Source organism: Homo sapiens, chromosome 10, assembly GCF_000001405.40.
Source record: "Homo sapiens chromosome 10, GRCh38.p14 Primary Assembly".
Taxonomy (NCBI): Eukaryota; Metazoa; Chordata; class Mammalia; order Primates; family Hominidae; genus Homo; species Homo sapiens.
The window spans coordinates 124,022,102-124,041,769 of NC_000010.11; the positions used below are offsets into that span (position 1 = coordinate 124,022,102).

Consider the following 19,668-nt stretch of genomic DNA (forward strand, 5'->3'; position numbering starts at 1 on the left):
GGCTCCTCTGTATCCTCCTCCCAACTAGACCTTAACTTTTTTACCTCCAGGTCCATCTCTGCACCACCCTATTTTAGCAAGAATCCTGCTGTTAAATAAAATGTATGAGAGGCTACTGTTCTGGACTGAGCTTCTGCAATAGGCCCCCACAGGCCAGAACAGAGTCATCTGTGCTAGGTGCCACGTAATTGAACTGAACTCGGAATGGGCCAGTTTCCAAAAAACCAGGGGATACACAGCAACCAGTCAGACGTCCCCTTTGCTTTAACCCTAGAAGGAAAGTCACTCTGAAATGAACAATCCACTCTCCGTTGCCTGTTTTTGCTTCTTCAGCCCGTTTCTGCCTATAAAGCCAGAACCTGGCTGGGCCCACAGGAGCACCTTCGTATTACAGGAATGGGATGCTGCCCTGTTCATGGACCGTGCTAATAAACACCAGTGAGATCTCTAAACTAAATTTGTCAAAATATTGTTTGTTGACACTGCTATGCTGGTTTAGCCAGAATCCCCCACCCTTGGTTAACTGACCACCCTTCTTATCTGATCAGGTTCCTAGTCCACCACCCCCAGGAGATGCCTGGCCACCTGGCCTGTCTCCAGCAAGAATCCCATCGGGTTGGTTTAGCCAGAATCCCCACCCCTTCCCCCTTGATGTTTCCCCTTAGTAATTTTCTAGCCACCAACCCCCTCGCCCTGCTCCTTGGCATTTCTTTTTTTTTTTTTTTTTTTTTTTGAGACAGAGTTTCACTCTGTCCCCCAGGCTGGAGTACAGTGGCGTGATCTCAGCTCACTGCAACGTCCGCCTCCTGGGTTCAAGCGATTCTCCTGCTTCAGCCTCCCGAGTAGTTGGGACTACAGGCGCCTGCCCACCAAACCTGGCTAATTTTTTTGTATTTTTCGTAGAGATGGGGTTTCACCATGTTGGCCAGGCTGGTCCTGAACTCCTGCCTCAACTGATCCACCTGCCTCGGCTTTAAAATCCCTACTTTTCCTAGTTGTATTCGGAGTCTCTCTCCTCTACTGAAAAACTGTCATGGCAGTCCCTATACCTACCACAATGGTCCTGAAGAAGGCCTGCATTGCCATTTTAATAAATGTCAGGGCCAGGCACAGTGGCTCATGCCTGTAATCCCAGCACTTTAGGAGGCCGAGGTGGGAGGATCACTTGAACCTAGGAGTTCAAGTCCAGCCCAGGCAACATAGTGAAACCTTGTCTCTACTAAAAATACAAAAAATTAGCCAGGCGTGGTGGTGCGTGCCTGTAGTCCAGCTATTCTGGAGACTGAGGTGGGAGAATGACCTGAGCCCAGGAAGTTGAGGCTGCAGTGAGCCGTGATCATGCCATTGCACTCCAGCCTGGGCAATGGGAGTGAGAACCTCTCTCAAAAAAAAAAAAAAGAGGTGTTTTTATCTTCAACAGAACATTCAGGGTGTGAGTTTCCTACTCTTTTTTCTCCTCTATCTCTCCTTGCAGCCCTTTTTGTCTGTTTTCAACCTTCCTGCCATATGTCCCACTCTCTTCTTGCACACACACCTGCATCTCTGGGCCAAGGGTGAAACTGGGCTTATGAAAAACATGGCCTACGTGGCTCCACAGGGTCACACTTCTCTCTCCTCAAAGCTCTATACTTTCTATTCCTTCAACTTCTCCAACCTGGCTTCCCCTCTTTCCAGGGAAGGCAATTCTGTGACTCTCATTCTGCACCCATGCATCCAGGTATCTGACATCCATATTTCCGTCTTCGTTTTTTTTTTTTTTGAAGCGGAGTTTCGCTTTTGTTGCCCAGGTTGGAGTGGAATGGCGCAATCTCGGCTCACTGCAACCTCCGCCTCCCGGGTTCAAGCAATTCTCCTGCTTCAGCCTCCTGAGTAGCTGGAATTATAGGCGCCTGCCATCACACCCAGCTGATTTTTTGTATTTTTAGTAGGGACAGGGTTTCACTGTGTTGGCCAGGCTGGTCTCGAACTCCAGACCTCAGGTGATCCACCCACCTCAGCCTCCCAAAGTGCTGGGATTACGGGCGTGAGCCACCACGCCCAGCCGCCATCCATACTTCCAAACGCTCCCAGACCTTCAGCCACATACTACCCTGCAAAAACTGTGCTCCCTTATAGCAGGGTCTGTTGCAAATGCGCCTTCTCCACTGCCCTCCCCTCTAATTGAGGTCATGATATGAGGAGCAGCATTTCTTAGGGACAGGCCCAGAAGCTATCCACCTCCGTAGCCCACCTTGGCACATCGGGTGCCTCTGACACAGCCCTCTAGAATTCATCCACGGCCAATGTCCACAGAGGACACCTCTTGGAAGTCTTGAGCAGTTTGAGATCTACCCACAGAGTTCCTAGAATCAAAACACCCACCGGAACAGGAGTGTTCCATCTACCACAGCCTGGCCAGCCAAACTGTCCAAAGAGACAGTCAGCAAAGGGGCTCGGTGGCCACTGAGTAGATTTCCCCAGATCCACACTCGCCTGAGAATATTCCCCAAGACAACACCACATCAGCTTATTACTGGTGTCCCCAACATCACCTGTGCTATTTTCCTTCTTCAGAATTAGAAGACACATCAAAACTGAAACACGGCATCTGTCGCCATAGGGTCGCTCATGGTTACTATGACCTAAATGGCTGGTCAATAAGTGCCAAAATCAGACACGCGTGAACCTTCAAGCAAGGTTTGGCTGTGTGCACTGAGGGGTGCCAGGTGGCAATTGGTCTGAGGGGTACCCTTCCTGGCTCACACATTTCCTATGAGTCCTGTCAATAATATGGCTCAGCCCAAGAAACTACGTCAATGAAAAGTAACAGATGCTTCTGAAACTGTCATAAAATCCCACGTTAAATAAGTATTCGAAGCCCAGTTTTTACCAAAGATGCCCACAGAACTACCCAAATTGTTTGGTGGAACTGGAATTCCATCACATAAATTACCTCACACAAACCCAAACACTGGCTGAAGGTTTCCATACTGAGAATTTTCTTTGTGGTAATAACATTTCTTGCAGATATTTGGCTCATAAATAAAACAAAAGCACCTAAGCTTGTCTTGATTTTAAATACAAAGTCACTTCATGAGGAATCTGCTGATTCCATACAATTCTTCAGAGATCAAGAAGTAATCCCTAGGAAAAACTGGGACATACCTACTGTTCCAACCAGGCAAGCCCACCCCTAGCAGGTGAAACGGCTGATTTTCATCTGTTTGAGGTGGGTTAAAGTGAACTCACTACCTCACTTCCTGTGAGTCACATGTACAGCCTTTGAGAGCCAGGCCACGCTCCTTCCTCGGCTGGATGAAAAGAGACTCCTTTGGCCTCTCAGTCACCTCTGGGTACTTTGGATCTGCTCAGAGAACTGGCAGTGGGCTTTGGGAGCCCCTCGAACCCCACTGCGAGAAACTATGCTGGGTCCCTGGCATCCTGCTGTGTCACAGACATCTGAACAGGGACTAGATTCACCACAAGCCATGGCCACCATCTGGATTCCGTAGTTGGATGGATAGTGGACACCAAAGAATTATGTCCAAGTCTGAAGCCCAGCCCCTGTGAATGTGACCTTTCTTGGAAATAGGGTCTTTGCAGATGTCATTAAGTGTAGGATCTTAAGACGAGATCCTCCTGGATTTACGGTGGTCCCAAATCCAATGGCAGGTGTCCTTATAAAAAGAGGAGAGGACAGACAGCACCACAGAAAGACGGAGACAGAGCCTGGAGTGCGGCGTCTATGAGCCAAGGAACGCCAAGGACTGCTGGAGGCCACCAAGAGCTGGGAGCAGGGGACGGCTTTTATCCCTTAGGGCCACCAGAGGGAACCAACCCTGCAGACATCTTGATTTAGGACTTCTGGCCTCCAGAATCATAAGAGACTACATTTCTGTTGTTTTAAGAAGCCAAGTTTGTGGTGATTTATTATGACTGCCCTAGGAAACCAGACAGATTTTAAACCCCAATTCTAAGGAAGACCAATTACTCCAAGGAGTTATTTTTGCCAATACTTCTCTGCCACCCTGAGACCCTGGAACAGTGGCCCTGAGGGTAGGGGAGGACTGGGGTCATGTGGCCACATTTCCCAGAAGGAAGCATGAAGGAAGGCAAATGCGGACAGGAGCACTTCCCTTCAGGGGAGCACTCAGACAGGGGAGCACTGAGACGGGGGAGCACTCTTTGGGTTCTCCCCAAGAATTAAGCGAATGCTTCCTAAGATTGTCTTCAAGTAACAAAGCTATCATTTCCCCCTTGACTACTCTCCAGGGGAAAAGAGTGAGTTAATAATCTTGGGTGGGGGAAAGCCACTCGGATAGGTTAAAGCCACTCAGAAAATGCTGAGAACAGCAAACATATCAAGAACAAGTATCCACTGGACGTCAAAAGGCCAGACAGGCACACTGTGGAACAAGATGAAACGTACAGAAACAAACTGAAATGTCTACCTTTTAGTCTTCAAAATCCACTATCCCATGAGGAAGTGGGGGAAGGAGACCAATGTAATGGAAAACACACAGCTCACGATCAATCATCACAGAACTGCAGGGGCACGGATGCAACCCCAGGATGCATTAACAGGGGCACGGCATGAGGAATGTGGGAGGGTGGAGCCAGGCGACAGGCAGCTCACGGCCTCAGCGGATGCTTGCTTTCAGTGCTGGGCACCAAACCTGGCTGCTCTCCCTGGAGATGCAAAAACTCAGCAGGAAGGAGCCCAGTCCCGAACTCCTGAAGGACTGACCAGCGGGCAGAAGGTTCGGGAAGAAAGCCTGGTTGCAGGCAAGGGGAAATACCTCCAGTCAGGGCAGGCTAACACGAGGGGATGGTCCTAGAAGGCAGGAGCAGCCTAGGCTGGAGGGAAGGAGGGCTCCAGGATAGCGTGGGGGCCAGGGGACATCATACCCTCCCAGCCCTGAGTTTCAGGGCTGCCCAGCCCCCTCCAGCTGAGCCACCTCATTTTCTTACTCTCAAACCATCCCGAACAGATGGGTATTACATTTGGCCAGGACTGTTTCCAACGACAATTCCAAATATAAGTCCAAATGCATTCCAGGCCTTCTGTGCTGCGGTTATTTTAGAAGGCTGTCGGCGCGGCCCCTCACACTGGGCCCGTGCTCATGGGGTACTGCTCAGCCCCTTTCCTGTGCAGTGCAGGGGTCCTGGGACCCCTGGAGGAGCGGTGGGATGGGAAATGTATGTTAGGGGGCATAGGGCTCCATCAATCCAGTGCCTCTGAAAGTGACCATGTCTCTCCCCAAGGGACAAAGGAGAGGCCAGCAGTGGCAAGGCCCTACTATGTAAAATCTGGATGATTACAGCCAAGACCACTGCTGGATTCATTCAGGGACACTTACAGCCAAGACCACTGCTGGATTCATTCAGGGACACTTACAGCGTGCTGTTCTGAGCCAGCGAGCAGAGGTTGGTGAGTTGATCACTATTAAAGCAGGAGCTGCTGCTGCTCCTCCCGCCAGGGCTCTGTGTGATTGCTTTCCGGGTTTAGTACCTGCAATGTTCTCAGTTTCCACTCCTGATGTGGATGCTGGGGGGTAGGGAGGGCCACCACCACCATGCCCTGTACAGGGTGCTGCATGCATGCTCTGCGTCTATCTTCACAACCCCATAATGAGATGTGGGCCACCCCATTTTACTGGGGGAGAAGGCTGACACTAGAGAGGTTAAGGAGTTTGCCCATGGTCACGCAGCCCAGGAAGCTCCAGGGCAGGGCTGGGACCCAAACAAACCCAGGCCTGCCTGACCCCAAAGCGCCTCACCCAGCTGGATGTGGCCCCTGCCCTCCGAGCTTAGGCAAGGAGACGAATCCACGGCTGACTAGAGTGGGTGCTGGCCGTCTGCACTGATAGTTTTCGGGTTTTGTTTGTTTAGGTGTTTTTATTATTTTAGGTGCACGGTGATTTGGAAGAGAAAGTCAATTCTTCTCCAGAACTACTTAATAAGTCACAGGAGACTGATAAACAATTACAAATGTAATAGAGTGGCAAATAAACACTTAGGATAAACGTGAGGAACTCCAATGCCACGGTCGGGAACAGCAAATGTGTTTACGGAACATCACATCCGGCATCTAGAAAAGTGACAGCAACAGCAAAAGGGAATTCAGGCATCTATCATGAAGCCGGAACACACTGCGGGATCTTGTATCTCTTGGAAAAGCTAATATTCCTTGGTGATCGCAATAGCTCATTAGAGTTTGATGGTTCCTGTTCCTAAGTGATGATGTGGTTGTTCATCGGCCTGGCCTCTATGTGGAGAACTCTGCAGGACCTGGCTCCAAGGCCACTAGTTTGGGAAAACCTCTCCCCATAGTGGGTTCCTCCTCCTTTTGTATTTTTGTTCATATCGTTTTTATATTGAGAAATGATCCACGTACCGTAGCATCCACCCATTTAATGTGAACAATTCGCCAGTTTTTAGTATACACCACACAGCTGTGTGAACACCACCACTCCCCAGTCCCAAGATGTTTTCATCACCCTGATGAGCGACTGCTGGTTCTAACACAGCAGTTCCCACAGGGACTCATGTCAGAAGTCACTGAGATCACCCAGCTCAAAAGGCACCCAAACGCACAAGCTTCAATCTCAGCTTCAGCTCAGACAAGGGCAGGCGCTTGGTGGCCTTGAGCTCTGACATGTCCTCCAGTTACTGCTCCACGTATGGGACTTCTCAGAGGGCCACCTTTGAGAAAAGATCCCAAGCTGGTGCTGAAGTTGCAGGCGGCTGGGAGCAGGTGACCATCCCTGGGCTGGCTCACCCCGGTGACGCTGGCCCCACCTCCCCGTGCTCCTCAAACACCCCCCAACCCCCCAGCTGGCTCCTCAATGACAGTTACCGGAACGGCCCCATTTCCTCAGGCAGGAGGACCCGAGATGGGGACACACTCATGTCCTCCAATTCACCCTCAACAACATCTTGCAGTGCTGTGGCCACGTGAGGGTTGTAATGAGAGGGAGCCAGGGCACCTGGCCTTGTTATTCTCCATTTGCTGGCATCCGAATTTAAATCACTGATCAATAATTCCCAGCCTGTGATATGGTGCCATCAATAATGATTATATATTTTTTTCCTACCAGGAAAAAAAGGCCATTTAATGTAGCTGAGACGGAGCCCTTTTGTTCCACTGAATCACAAACTGTGACTGTCTCATCAGGAGGCTGGATGAGACAGGACTGGCCAGGCCAGCTGATCTGGAGGGAATGTCCAAGGTCACCTTAGACTGAACACAGGGGTGACACTGGTGAGGCTCATTTTCTGCCAGTTACAAACATCCATGTTTGGTCCTAAAAACGCCCAAATGAATGGCAGGTGCCCTGTTTGTTGGGGCCATTCTATTTCCTACCAGGCCCTAGGTTCCTTGTGCACGAGTGGGGTTCCCAGCCCCTCTTTGTTCCTTCCAGAGCATCCAATCACAGGGCCCCGGTAACTGTTCACAGACTGGGAGGCAGCACTTCTCAGAGGCGACACCAAGCATCCCTGACATCTCCGAGCCTGGCGTGGTTTACAAAGCACCTTCTCGTGATTCACCAGTGACTCTCATGGCAGATGTTTCTACAAGCAAGAAAACTGGGGTGCACTGAGGATTGGCGGGCTACCCCTGGTTATAAAGCCAGGCGCAGGGTGTGGGCCCCTCACTGCAGGGCAATGGCCACTGCACACCGGGGCGGGGCCAGTATGTGACATGTGCTGCCACCCCCTCCTTCAACAGCGTCAACCTCACTAAGCAGCCCAGAACTCCGGGTGAGACAGGTCCCTGAACTGTGGCTGCCCCAGGGTCGTTTCTAAGTGCCCTCCCTGATCCCAGCCCAGCGGGCACACATCTCACCTTAGGATCTCTGCAGATACAGACACAACGGAGCTCTTTTTCCCTATAGTGTTCCTCCTGCTCGGAACCGTCCTTTCCAAACAATCATGTGGGAATACACAGGACTGCCAAGGACTTCACAAACATTTCCCCAAAACATAAACAGTGTTCAGCACTTGGGAGTTTTCAGCTTGGTGGTTTTTCTCCCACCAATAACAAGATGTGGCGCCTCACCAGGCAGTCCCTCCTGAACAGTCTTCAGAGAACCCCTTCACAAAGACCCGAGCTGTCCTTCTGGCCTGGGCGCTGCCAGCTCTCCCTCCCCGCTCTGTGATCGAGGCCAACCCCCTTGACCTCAGGTGGCTCAACAGCTCAGTCCTATTAAAGTGACCTCGTGCCGCTTCCAGGGCCCATATCAAGGTGTGTCAACAGGCAGCTTCTGGGAAGCAAAATGCCTGAACCCACCAGGAATCAATAGGCAGCTTCAATAAAGACACCGCACTACAGTAGTCCTCACAAGGACCCTTGTAATTCTTAATCTTCCAAAATCTTAGAGGAAAGGAAAGAGTGAGAGCTGGAGGGAGAGGTGAGAAAGAGAAATCGATCCGTGGCTATTGCTGCAACCTCTACATCCCCACGGCTTTCTCCTCATTCCGTCTCTTCTCCACAGAGGCGTTCTCCTAATTTCCCTTTGAGATGGTTTAAATCAATAATGAATCCCTCAGTGCTAGGAACAGCCTGCGTTTTAATCCTTGTGCAAATCTGTTCTAGAGAAAACATCGCATGACATTCCCAGTGCCAGGCTCTCTTCTGATTGAGAACACATCCAGGGCTTTCAATCAGTGCTTCTAGGGGCTGGGGGAAGTTGAGCTGTTTGGAGAGGGGCTTCCGGTGCTGCCTGAATAGCAAGAGAGATTCTCAAGTCAAAGTTCCGCTGCGGTTCGAAGGCATGAATCCGGCTCAGCTCCCTTCTGTGTGTGCTGGCTTTTGCCCTAGGGCGGGCATCCTGCTCCCTCTGATGTGGAAGTAGGTGAATGAGGTGCATCCAGGCTTAGGCATCCACAAATACCGGGTCCTTCCTATTTACAGAGCTTTGCAAAACTGGGGAGCCATCCTGCTAATAACTCACAGCCCAGTCCCTCCTGGGAACGAGCCTCAGCTGAAGAGACCACCAGCAGCAACCAAGGTTAAGCCTCCACAGGTGGTCCTGTCCAATGATGGGTGGATGGGAGAAGCCTCACCCAGAGATAGCTCTGAGGGGCTGCCCCAGCTCAGTCATTTACATGAAGCCTGGCCCTACTCCCTCAACTAGACAGAGGCTCCATGAGAGCAAACGGGATGGATTTTCCTCTCCTATGTACAGCTTGCATCTAGCACATCAAGGGTGTTCAATAAATACAGCCAGGCGTCACTTAACAGCAGGGATATATATGTTCTGAGAAATGCATCAGTAGGTGATGTCATTATGTGAATGTCATAGAGTGTTCACAGAAACCCAGATGGCACAGCCCCCTACACACCTAGGTGGCGAGGTACAGCCTACTGCTCCTATGCTGTCAGCCTGTACCGCAGGAATCCTGTGAGCAGTTGTAACATAAGAGTTAGAATTTATGTATTGAAGCATAGAAAAGGCACAATGAAAACACGGGATTATAACTTTACGGGGCCACCATCATATATGGGGTCCACTGTTGACCAAAACTTGGTTATGTGGTTTGCAACTCTGGGGAGTGAGTAAATGAGTGATCAGTTTATTGTTATTATTAGTAATAACTGATACCTAATAATAATAATAGTTACATATTTTCCATTTGTCAAGCACTGTTTAAACACGTTACTACAAATATTAAGTCATTTAACTCTCACTACCCTGGAGGTAGGACTATCTTCCCCCATTTTACCGATGAGAAAATAAGGCACAGAGAGGTTAAGTTTCTTGTCCCAGTTTACAGAGCAGTAAGTGACAGGGCTGGGGTTCCAATGCCTGTGTTCCTGCCACCATGACCCCGGTACACCTCCCAGACACTCAGCGGGTGAAAGCTGTGCACCACCCTGAGGCCCCCTCACACACTCTGCAGACAGAGTGAAACTGATGAAACCAGGATTCCTGCCCAAATGTTCAGCCCTGCTATTCCTCTGTGTCCCCATGAGTGACTGCCTATAACAGAATCCATTTCATTAAAAGCCTGCTTCCTTTCCTAGTTTATCGTCATAACTGAATCATTTGACCAGTCCAACGGGTTGTTTAAAAAATCAGTTTATATAAGCAGATGAAGAAAAGAACTAGCCAGGTTCCAAGACTCCAGGGGTTTGGGTCAAAATCGAGTTTGAATTCTTCGCCAAGCTGAGTTCTCCTTCCCTTTGGACTCATCATCACAGAATGGGAAAATGAACCATTCCTGTGGTGGGTTGTTTCTGGGCATTGCATTAAGACTACACACAGAATCAAACCCCAAACATAGACACGGTAAAATCCTTAACAGATGGTACATGACCCCACTCCAAATGTCCCTTGAATAAAGGAGGAATGCAACTAGGTTGGAGGTGCCAGCACCTTCCACGCATTTTTCACATTTAACGGGGGCTATAACTGCCTCTGAATTAAGAGACAAACACTATCAACTGTCTCACAAATGAAGAGGCAGGAGGCTAATGTGAGATGCATTTGAAAAGAATAGTCTTTACCACTTACGAATGGGATTAAATAAAGAAAAATTCTGCTTGCAATTGGTGGCTTCTTTTTAATTAACTGGGCCAATTTAGCATAGGAATGCATCAAGCTAGTTTTAAATTGTCATGATCTCTTACAGAGAGGAAACTGGAACATGAATTCTTGGCTGGCTTCTTTGGCCATATGAACCATCCCATCCACTTGTTTCCATTATTCCTCTGTTCTCCTCCAGAAAAAAAAAAAAAAAATGGACTTGCCACTTGACTCCTTCTCTGGAAATTTAAAAGTGATTTGACTTTGCTTAAAATTCCAACATTTTCAAACCCTCTACTTTGGATCAATTAGGCTGAATGTGAACCTAAAACTAAAAATAAAAGTGGTATTTCCCCTCTCCAAGCCAATTTATAGAAGGAAAAGAACAACTTGGACCAATCCAACTTGCAGCCAGCAACCCCCAAAATCTCCTGCTTCCAGAAGTGCAAGGTCACAGAACAGGGCTAATGGCCCAGGATCCCGTTAGACTGATGGAACTTGGGCTCAGAGTGTTTGTTTCTTCAAGAGTGACCTAAACACACAGTATTTATCATCCTTTCTGGCTGAGATGGGAAACGCGCCAACCATTTCAGACAGGCCATGGGTCATGGGCTTCGAAAAAGAAGAAATTCCTATTGTTACTTATTTTTATAAATGTTTAAGAAGAAATGAAACAGCTGCTATGTCAGTAACTTACACAGAAAATATGCACATAAACACACTTCCTCTGCCACTAGAGCTGGGATCAAGCTGGAAGCTACTCTCCCGGCTGCAAAGCCCAGGCCCCAGTTTCCTGAGGATCAGGTGCAGAACGGGAGGTGGCTGACTCCTAGGACGGTCCTCAGTGATCCCCGGTTCTTGGTATTCACACCCTGTAGTGTCTTCCCACTGAGTGTGGCTAGACCTCATGACTCACTTCTAACCAACAGAATATGGCAATGACGATGGGATTTCACACTCATGACTAGGTTAGAAAAAATCGTGACTTCTAATCTGCTAGCAGACGCTCTAGCTTGCTGGCTTGGATAAAGCCTGCAGCCATACCGGAGAGGCCCTGTGGTGAGGTATGGAGGGTAGCCTCTCGCCAAAAGCCAGCAAAGATGTGAAGCCCTCATTCCAACAGCTCTTGAGGTGCTGAATTCTGCCCACAACCATGTGCGCTTGGGAGCAGGTCCTTCTGCAGTCAAGCATATTGACGACCCCCAGCCTGATGACAGCTAGGTCACAGCCTCATGAGAGACCTTAAGTAGAGGACCCAGTAAAGCTGCACCCAGGTTCCTGACCCCCAGAAACTGTTTGAAGCTGCTAAGTTTTGGCAAACTTTTTCCGCAGCAGTACTAATTAGTACAGCAGGCAATGCAAGGCCTGGGTCAGCGTCCTAACACACGCTGCTGCCCTGGCATCCTGCCCTTCCCCTCAGCACCAGGACATGAGCCATGACGAAGCCGCCGCCCACTTCTCTGATAAAGCACCAGCTACCAGGGGGTAGGCACTGGGTCGCCACTGTTGTTCACCAGGGCACGTATGCTCAGTGCCCAGCACAGCACCCAGCCTGTGGCAGGGGCTGAATATGTGTTTGAATTGACCAACTATTTCTGTTAGGCTGAGGACCAGGGAGGCAAGAAGCTTTCACATTCAGTTCCTAGGATACATAGAGTATTTGTTATTAAAAGAAGAAAACACGGTGACTACTTGGGGGGACCATGCTGTGAACTGTGAGCCTCCTTCTAGCTGGCAGACTCAGGCTGGGGTAAGAGAGAAGAGTTTGGCAGGTCTTGCTCCTTGCTGAGCCGCTTGCACCTGCACGGTGCTGCTGTCTTCTGTTCCAGCACTCACCTTTGTGGTGTTGGTATCCTCAGAGGTGGGACCAGAACTCCAGGAAGAAAGAAACATACTCAGGGACCCTGGCTCCACCCCTAACAGGGACCCTGGCTTCATCCCCTAACAGGGACCCTGGCTTCATCCCCTAACAGGGACCCTGGCTCCACCCCCTAACAGGGACCCTGGCTTCACCCCTGATAGGTACCCTGGCTCCACCCCTAACAGGGACCCCGGCTCTACCCCCTAACAGGGACCCCGGCTCCACCCCCTAACAGGGACCCCGGCTCCACCCCCTAACAGGGACCCCGGCTCCACCCCCTAACAGGGACGCCGGCTCCACCCCCTAACAGGGACGCCGGCTCCGCCCCTAACGGGGACCCCGGCTCCGCCCCCTAACGGGGACCCTGGTTCTACCCCTAACAGGGACCCTGGCTCTACTCCCTAACAGGGACCCTGGCTCTACCCCTGATAGGTACCCTGGCTTCATCCCCTAACAGGGACCCTGGCTCCACCCCTAACAGGGACCCTGGCTCTACCCCCTAATAGGGACCCTGGCTCTACCCCCTAATAGGGACCCTGGCTCTACCCCCTAACAGGGACCCTGGCTCTACCCCTGATAGGTACCCCGGCTCCACCCCCTAACAGGGACGCCGGCTCCACCCCTAACAGGGACCCCGGCTCCGCCCCCTAACAGGGACCCCGGCTCCGCCCCCTAACGGGGACCCCGGCTCCGCCCCCTAACGGGGACCCTGGTTCCACCCCTAACGGGGACCCTGGCTCTACCCCCTAACAGGGACCCTGGCTTCATCCCCTAACAGGGACCCTGGCTCCACCCCTAACAGGGACCCTGGCTCTACCCCTGATAGGTACCCCGGCTCCACCCACTAACAGGGACCCTGGCTCCACCCCTAACAGGGACCCTGGCTCCACTCCCTAACAGGGACCCTGGCTCCGCCCCCTAACAGAGACCCTGGCTCCACCCCTAATAGGGACCCTGGCTCTACCCCCTAACAGGGACCCTGGTTCCACCCCCTAACAGGGACCCCGGCTCTACCCCTGATAGGTACCCTGGCTTCATCCCCTAACAGGGACCCTGGCTCCGCCCCCTAACAGGGACCCTGGTTCCACCCCTAACAGGGACCCTGGCTTCATCCCCTAACAGGGCCCATGGTTTCATCCCCTAACACGGACCCTGGCTCCAACCCCTAACAGGGACCTTGGCTCCACCCTAAACAGGAGAACATGTGGTGTTTTCCTTTGCACCTGTCCTCCTCTCTGCCTGGAAGGCTTCATCTTAACCCACCTTCCTGCCTTGTTTACACAGCAAACTCTTATTCATCCTTCAAAACCCAGTCTGGCATCAGTCTTCTCCAGGTCAGTTCCTTCTGGATCTCCCCACTCTGGAGCCCCACTCTCCTCACCTCCTACTCTGCAGAACTGCAACCAACCACAGCCATGCCCACGTCCCCACTGGGAGCTCCAGTCTCCCAGGGCCCAGAGCAGGGCTGACACACACCAAACCCAGTCCCGACAGATGGGCCCCCACCTCTCTGTGCCCAGACAGTACACAAGGCTGCTGTGTGCACTCTCGGCCCCTGAGGTTAAGGCGTGGTCTGACCTTTCTCAGAATGAGGAACTAAGCAGCAGCGACAGGAAAACATTTGATGAGCACACCGAGCACTTGCGCCCTTCAGCTGGGGGCCGTGTCGGGGAGGGAGGCAGAGCAGCTATGCAAACACCTCCGGGGGCGGCGAGGGGTCAGCTCGAGGTGACAGTTATGTCACCATGAGAGCTCGGCTAGTGTGCGTCAGCCCTGCTGGATGGAGGGAGACCACTCAGCAGGGCCGATTTCTGCCTCCAAAACACGGGAACCAGCAGGTGGGACATGGCAAGGGACGGCAAGTCAGTGCCTGCCTCAGAACAGAGTGGAAGAAGTCCTGGGCTGGGAGATGCAGAGAGCAGGGAGCGAAACCACACCTGGCACCTGCTAGAAGGCATGGCACCGGGACAGCCACCAAGAGCTCAGGCTCAGAGCGCTGGGGCTGAGGGAGGGCAGATCCAGCCTCTCCCTGACCAGGTCATACTCAGAGCAGCGGGAGCCATGCAGACTCCACAAGAGGGACATCAGCTCAGAAGTGTGACCAGAGCAGACTTTAAAGCATGTTTCTGGGGGGCAACAATGCAAAGTGAAAGAAGCAGGACATAAGACTGTCCTGTCACACCCATGTGCACACACACACACACACACACTTATTTGCATAGAAAAGTCTGGAAGAAAATACACCAAAACATAAATAGTAGTTATCTAGGTGAGAAATTAATAGTTTGAAAACAGTTTTCCAATATATGTTCCAAAATTTCCACAACAAACACGCCTTATTGTTATAATTGGCAAATACGTGGGGCCAGGAAGGTATGCCACCTGAAGAAGGGGTCCCAGGGGTCAGTTTCCCGGGGCTGCCAGGACAAATCACCACGAACTCGTGGTGCGTAATGACAGGACTTTCTTCCCTCAGTGTCCTGGAAGCTGGAGTCTGAAACCCAGGTGTGGGGCAGAGGTGGTTCCTCTGGGATGCCAGGGGAGAATCTGTTCCACTCCTCTCCTGGCTTCTGGTGGCTGCCGGCACTCCTTGGCACCCCTTGGCTGGTGGCAGCATCACTCCAGCCTCGTCAAGAGGCATGCTCCCTGTGTCTTAGGGTGGGTGAGGGTCTACCCTGATCCAGTATGACCTCATTTTAACCGGAGTGCATCTGCAAAGAAAGATCCTATTTCCAAATAAGGTCACAGTCATACACACTGGGGGAGACAACTTCAGCTTATCTTTTTGGGGGGCACAATTCAATCCATAAGAAGATGTAGTTGGCCCAAAGGAAAATAAGACACAAAGGGCTGTGGTCCCTGTCTTTAAATATCGCCAGCCTCTCCTGTTTTGGAAGGATTAGACTTGGTCTGTCTGACTCTATGGAGAAGAAAGAGGACCAATGAGTGGATGTTTCCCCAAAACAGACCTGGTCTCAAAATAGGAACACAGCTGTCCTAAGCTACACTGGCCATCTTGCGCGGAGAATTCCCTGACTCAGAGGGCCTCGGATTAGACAGGTGCCCCCTTAGCTCTGATGTGGAAGTATTGGAGGGAGCACTGGACCAAATAATTTTCAGGTCCTGGCAGCCCTGAGATTCTGCATTCACACAGGCATAAATGATGCAAGCAGTGCCCAGTGCCAGCCAGGCCGCCCCATAGTGGCTGTTCAATATCCCACTACCCTGGCCTCACCCACACTGGGAAACCCTTGATCTTAAAGCAAAGCTGCTCTGCTCAGCATTGTTCTTCCTTTTGGTCTCTCAAGGAAAGCTGGAAACTGTACATTCAACGCAGACAAGGATAAAGGCATCAACCACGTGGAGAGACACAGAATTCTAGGAGTTAAACCACGTGGAGAAGCTTACACCCCTGATTCTAAGGGTGTTTCCCTCGCCTTGACAGTACCAAGGAACCGTCCTGTGCCCCTGGTCAGGCCTGCTGGGGCTGAAGTCACACAGACCAGGATCAGAATGGTTAAGAAAACCATCTGCAACATGTGTCAACTCAGTGGGGACAGCCTCAAGAATAACACTTACGTAAGAAACAGCAGTAACGTTGCAAGTTCCGTTTATTTTTGTTTGTTTTTATTTTATTTTATTTTTTTTTTTGAGATGGAGTCTCACTCTGACACCCAGGCTGGAGTGCAGTTGCACCATCTTGGCCCACTGCAGCCTCCGCCTCCTGGATTCAAGCGATTCTCCTGCCTCAGCCTCCCGAGTAGCTGGGACTATAGGAGTGTGCCACCACATCTGGTAATTTTTGTATTTTTAGTAGAGATGGGGTTTCACCATGTTGGCCAGGCTGGTCTTGAACTCCTGACCTCAGGCGATCCACCCACCCCGGCCTCCCAAAGTGCTGGGATTACAGGCATGAGCCACTGTACCCGACCTGTTTAATTTTTTCTAAAGGAGACAAAATCTTATTTGTCATGAGAGGGGAACACTGTTCTTCAAAAGTTCCTCTTCTCACCCCAAATACAACACACAGAAACTGCTCACCTCTCCACAGGGTCCCTGAGCATGACAATCAGTCTGGCATTTGGCTGAAAGGCGTGGATGAAGTCCTGCGTCAGAAACGGTGGCTCGCCATCCGTGCTGTTGTCGTAGAAGAACGTCCAGGCATTATTATCCCACATCGTGGAGGCACTGGCCTCCCCTGGAAACAGAAAACACTCCAAGTGAGCAGGGGTGTGATTCAGGCTCCCACGGAGTGGCTCTAGGTGCCAGAGGCCACACCTGGCCCCGATGCCTTCCTCTTAAGCAGCGGGAGAGGCCAAGCTGTCAGCCTTTGCGGGCATCTGGGACTCCAAAGAGAGAAGGTTGGATGCCCCCCCCTGCCACAGCCACACCCCACCTCCACCCCAAAAACTTCTGTCTGGAAGTCCAGGCGATCCATGCAACACTGAGTGCCCCCACCCCTGAGCTCCTCTTTCCAAGGGGAGCAAAAATGAAACCTTCCCTAGCACCTGGGCCCCCAGTTTCACAGTATTTAACTTTGCTCACAGTGCACAGCTCTGTGGCATTTTAAGGGCCCACTGAGAATGCAGTCTGTCAGAAAAACACGCCAAAACATAAACAGCAGTTATCTAGGTGGGAAATTATAGGTGGTTTTGAAAATGGTTTTCCTGTATAGTATTCCAATATATGTTCTATACAGTAGATGGTTCTAGTAATAATAGATGGAGTTCTCTCTGAACTGGGGGCCCAAGATGATGAAAGGCCTTGACATTTCTGCCCAGGATCTAACAAAGAGAAAGAGCTGGGGCAGAGCTGAGCCACATTTCAGAGCCGGGAGGAGCCGAGAACTGGTCTAGCAGACCAGGAGCCTGGAGCTGGTACTAGATGATTTCCTTCCAAAGCGTCAGGAGAAAGGAGGAGGGTGGGAACACTAACCCTTATGAGGAATTTGAGTGTGATTTCCTTCCTTGAAGCTGTAACTGTTCATCACAGAGCATACTCTAAGACTAAAAGAGAGAGGGGCTTTGCCACAGGGCTCACACGCCCTGTCTCCTGCGAGGCGACTGCTCTGCACGCAGCTGGCGCCTACTCAGTGCAGCCTGGGTGAACGGGAACTGGGTCCCAGCCAGTTTCACATTTCATCATGGTCCTCACGAGTGAAGGATGTAAATGGCAAACACACGTCCCAGCACAGAGGTGATGCCAAGACACAGGCAGGCATTCCAACAGCACAGACTCTCTCAGAGGATGAAGCCAAATTTCCTGAGGGTTTGAGGAGAGACAGTGTGTGTGCGTGTATGTGTGTGTGTATATGTGTGTGTTTAGGAAAAAGGAAATTCATCAATCAGCTCTACACTTGATTTCCTGACAGTTTGCCAAGGACCACAGGACACATCTGAAAGTTACTTATCTGGGGAGAGACTGAGCCAGATGACTGAGTCTCTTTGGTCAGTGACAAGTGTATCATATCCCTGCAGGCCCCTATCATTTCTGTCGGATGCGTAATCACATCCAGGTGAACAGCTCTGTTCTGGCCTTTTGTTCTTTCTTTTTTTAAAGAGATAATACCCTAGGATACAGAAAAAACGAGTCAATCAGAAGTCCCTTGAAAATTCTACTCACAATGAATAAGAATATAAAGGACAAGTGAACTCTCTAGCTAAATTGGCACAAATTCTGTCAGATCTCAAAAATGAACTGGTTTTAGAGCCATGGAGGCGTTTGTCCATCCACCTGACTGTCTTCCTTCCATCCAGCCACCATCCATCCTTCGTCCATCCAGGAAGCATTAACTTAGTGTCTAATCCGTGCTCAGCATTGTGCTTGGCACCAGGGACAGATCAGGGGAGGAAAGCACGGCCCCTCCTCTCTCGGACCTTAAGACATAAGGGGGACGATGGCAATTCAAGAAACAAAGAGTACCACGATGGGTACCTGGGAGTAGAGGCAGGAGACTTTCAACATGTCTAAAGCTCCGGCCTCAAGTTCAGCCATCACGTTCAGGCCACTTGAATCCTGAACCTCTTGTGTGACTCTAGCTGTCAAAAAGACAGCAGAAGAAAGGTCCTCTCTGACCTAGGGGCCCAAGATGATGAAAGATCCTGCTGTTTCTGCCCCGAATCTAACAAAGAGGAAGCGCTGGGGCAGAGCTGAGTCACATTTCAGAGCTGGAAGGAGTCTAGAACTGACCTGGTCCAACAATCCCACTTTGCAGAGGTGCAGACAGAGTCCAGGAACAGGAAAAATGAACGGCCGCAAGGCACAGAGCTGGCCGCTGGCCCAAGCAGGGCTAGATACTTGTCACACCACAAGACTACCATAGAACTCACCAAACTCTGCTTTAAGTAAATATCAGCACAGTGATTTTATTTTTCATTCTTTTTAAAATCTTGGAGCAAGCAAAATTAGGAGACCAAACTGAGGCTTTCCTTTTTCATTCATTATCTTAGTCTCTGTTTCCTGGCCGGAGAATACATATTTTCATCTCTTTCATAAGAACATGTGATTTTCCCAGAGGCATATGGTATAGGAGTCACAATGAAATGTAAGTCAGACTTGAGATTTGGGGAGTTTGGACTCCCAAGTTTGCAAAAAACTAGATAACAGCCAAATCATACTGGAGGTGACTCCCAGTGACTTAATTTCTTTGAGTTTAAAAGAAAAAAAAGAGTTAAGTCAGGACTTAGGCACATAAGTCTGTCCCCTTGGACAGGAGAGTCTTAAGTTAAAAAGTCATCTTTCGAAGGGCTGATTATAATTCCTCTTAGTTGCTAATAGATTTATTTAATTTGGAGATTGCAAATATAACAGATCTAGGAAAATTAAAAAATAGATCACTATCTAAGGTAAACAATTTAAGCAAAACGTGACTCAATTTCTCTTTTAGAAGGCATCAGTGGATAAACGCCTTCTAAGCTGAATCCAATAAAAAGAATTATGTCAGGCAAATAACAAGTCTAGAGATCTAAGGTAGAGCATGTGCACTGTAGTTATTAATCCTATTAATCCTGTATTGCATGCTGGAAATTTTCCAAGACAGTATATTTCAGGTGCTTTTACCACACACACGCCCCCCTCCCCACACACAAAGGTAACTGTGAAAAAAACATGGCTATGTTAATTTGCTTTACTGTAGCAATCATTTCACTGTCTCTATTTCCATCGAAACATCACAGTATGCTGTACACCTTAAATTATACAATAAAAAATAAATTTTAAAGAGTAAATATGTATGTTTACTTATAAAATATTCTTGTGAATATTTAAAACAAATTATTATTAATCAACCTCACTTTG

General features: G+C 50.1%; 1 protein-coding gene across 22 annotated transcripts in view, besides 5 other annotated features; it reads right to left on the reverse strand.

The window, feature by feature from the left end:
- The window catches only part of CHST15 (carbohydrate sulfotransferase 15), an 85,931-nt gene that overhangs the window by 14,434 nt on the left and 51,829 nt on the right, over nucleotides 1-19,668 (reverse strand). For 18 of the 22 annotated variants that reach the window (NM_001270764.2, XM_047425324.1, XM_047425327.1 and 15 more), the window contains one exon: nucleotides 16,414-16,570. In NM_001270764.2, the coding sequence (NP_001257693.1) occupies nucleotides 16,414-16,570 (157 nt within the window). Of the gene's footprint in view, nucleotides 1-16,413; nucleotides 17,942-19,668 lie in introns of those variants that run through there. The other 4 variants (XM_011539857.2, XM_047425334.1, XM_047425333.1 and 1 more) reach the window with 2 other exon arrangements.
- Nucleotides 3,373-3,542: an enhancer, noted in NCBI's record as "experimental_10820 CRE fragment used in MPRA reporter constructs". NCBI's record gives its function as "activates a minimal promoter by MPRAs in K562 erythroleukemia cells, with activity observed for both the introgressed and non-introgressed 10:125785075 variant alleles {active_cell/tissue: K562}" and the evidence as "EXISTENCE:reporter gene assay evidence [ECO:0000049][PMID:34662402]".
- Nucleotides 4,248-5,244: an enhancer, noted in NCBI's record as "H3K27ac-H3K4me1 hESC enhancer chr10:125785865-125786861 (GRCh37/hg19 assembly coordinates)". NCBI's record gives its function as "activates a minimal SCP1, AML or CMV promoter by ChIP-STARR-seq in naive H9 embryonic stem cells {active_cell/tissue: H9 hESC(naive)}" and the evidence as "EXISTENCE:reporter gene assay evidence [ECO:0000049][PMID:30033119]".
- Nucleotides 11,420-11,942: an enhancer, noted in NCBI's record as "H3K4me1 hESC enhancer chr10:125793037-125793559 (GRCh37/hg19 assembly coordinates)". NCBI's record gives its function as "activates a minimal SCP1, AML or CMV promoter by ChIP-STARR-seq in naive and primed H9 embryonic stem cells {active_cell/tissue: H9 hESC(naive and primed)}" and the evidence as "EXISTENCE:reporter gene assay evidence [ECO:0000049][PMID:30033119]".
- Nucleotides 11,943-12,464: an enhancer, noted in NCBI's record as "H3K4me1 hESC enhancer chr10:125793560-125794081 (GRCh37/hg19 assembly coordinates)". NCBI's record gives its function as "activates a minimal SCP1, AML or CMV promoter by ChIP-STARR-seq in primed H9 embryonic stem cells {active_cell/tissue: H9 hESC(primed)}" and the evidence as "EXISTENCE:reporter gene assay evidence [ECO:0000049][PMID:30033119]".
- Nucleotides 14,070-14,119: a silencer, noted in NCBI's record as "silent region_2906". NCBI's record gives its function as "represses an Ori minimal core promoter by ATAC-STARR-seq in GM12878 lymphoblastoid cells {active_cell/tissue: GM12878}" and the evidence as "EXISTENCE:reporter gene assay evidence [ECO:0000049][PMID:35858748]".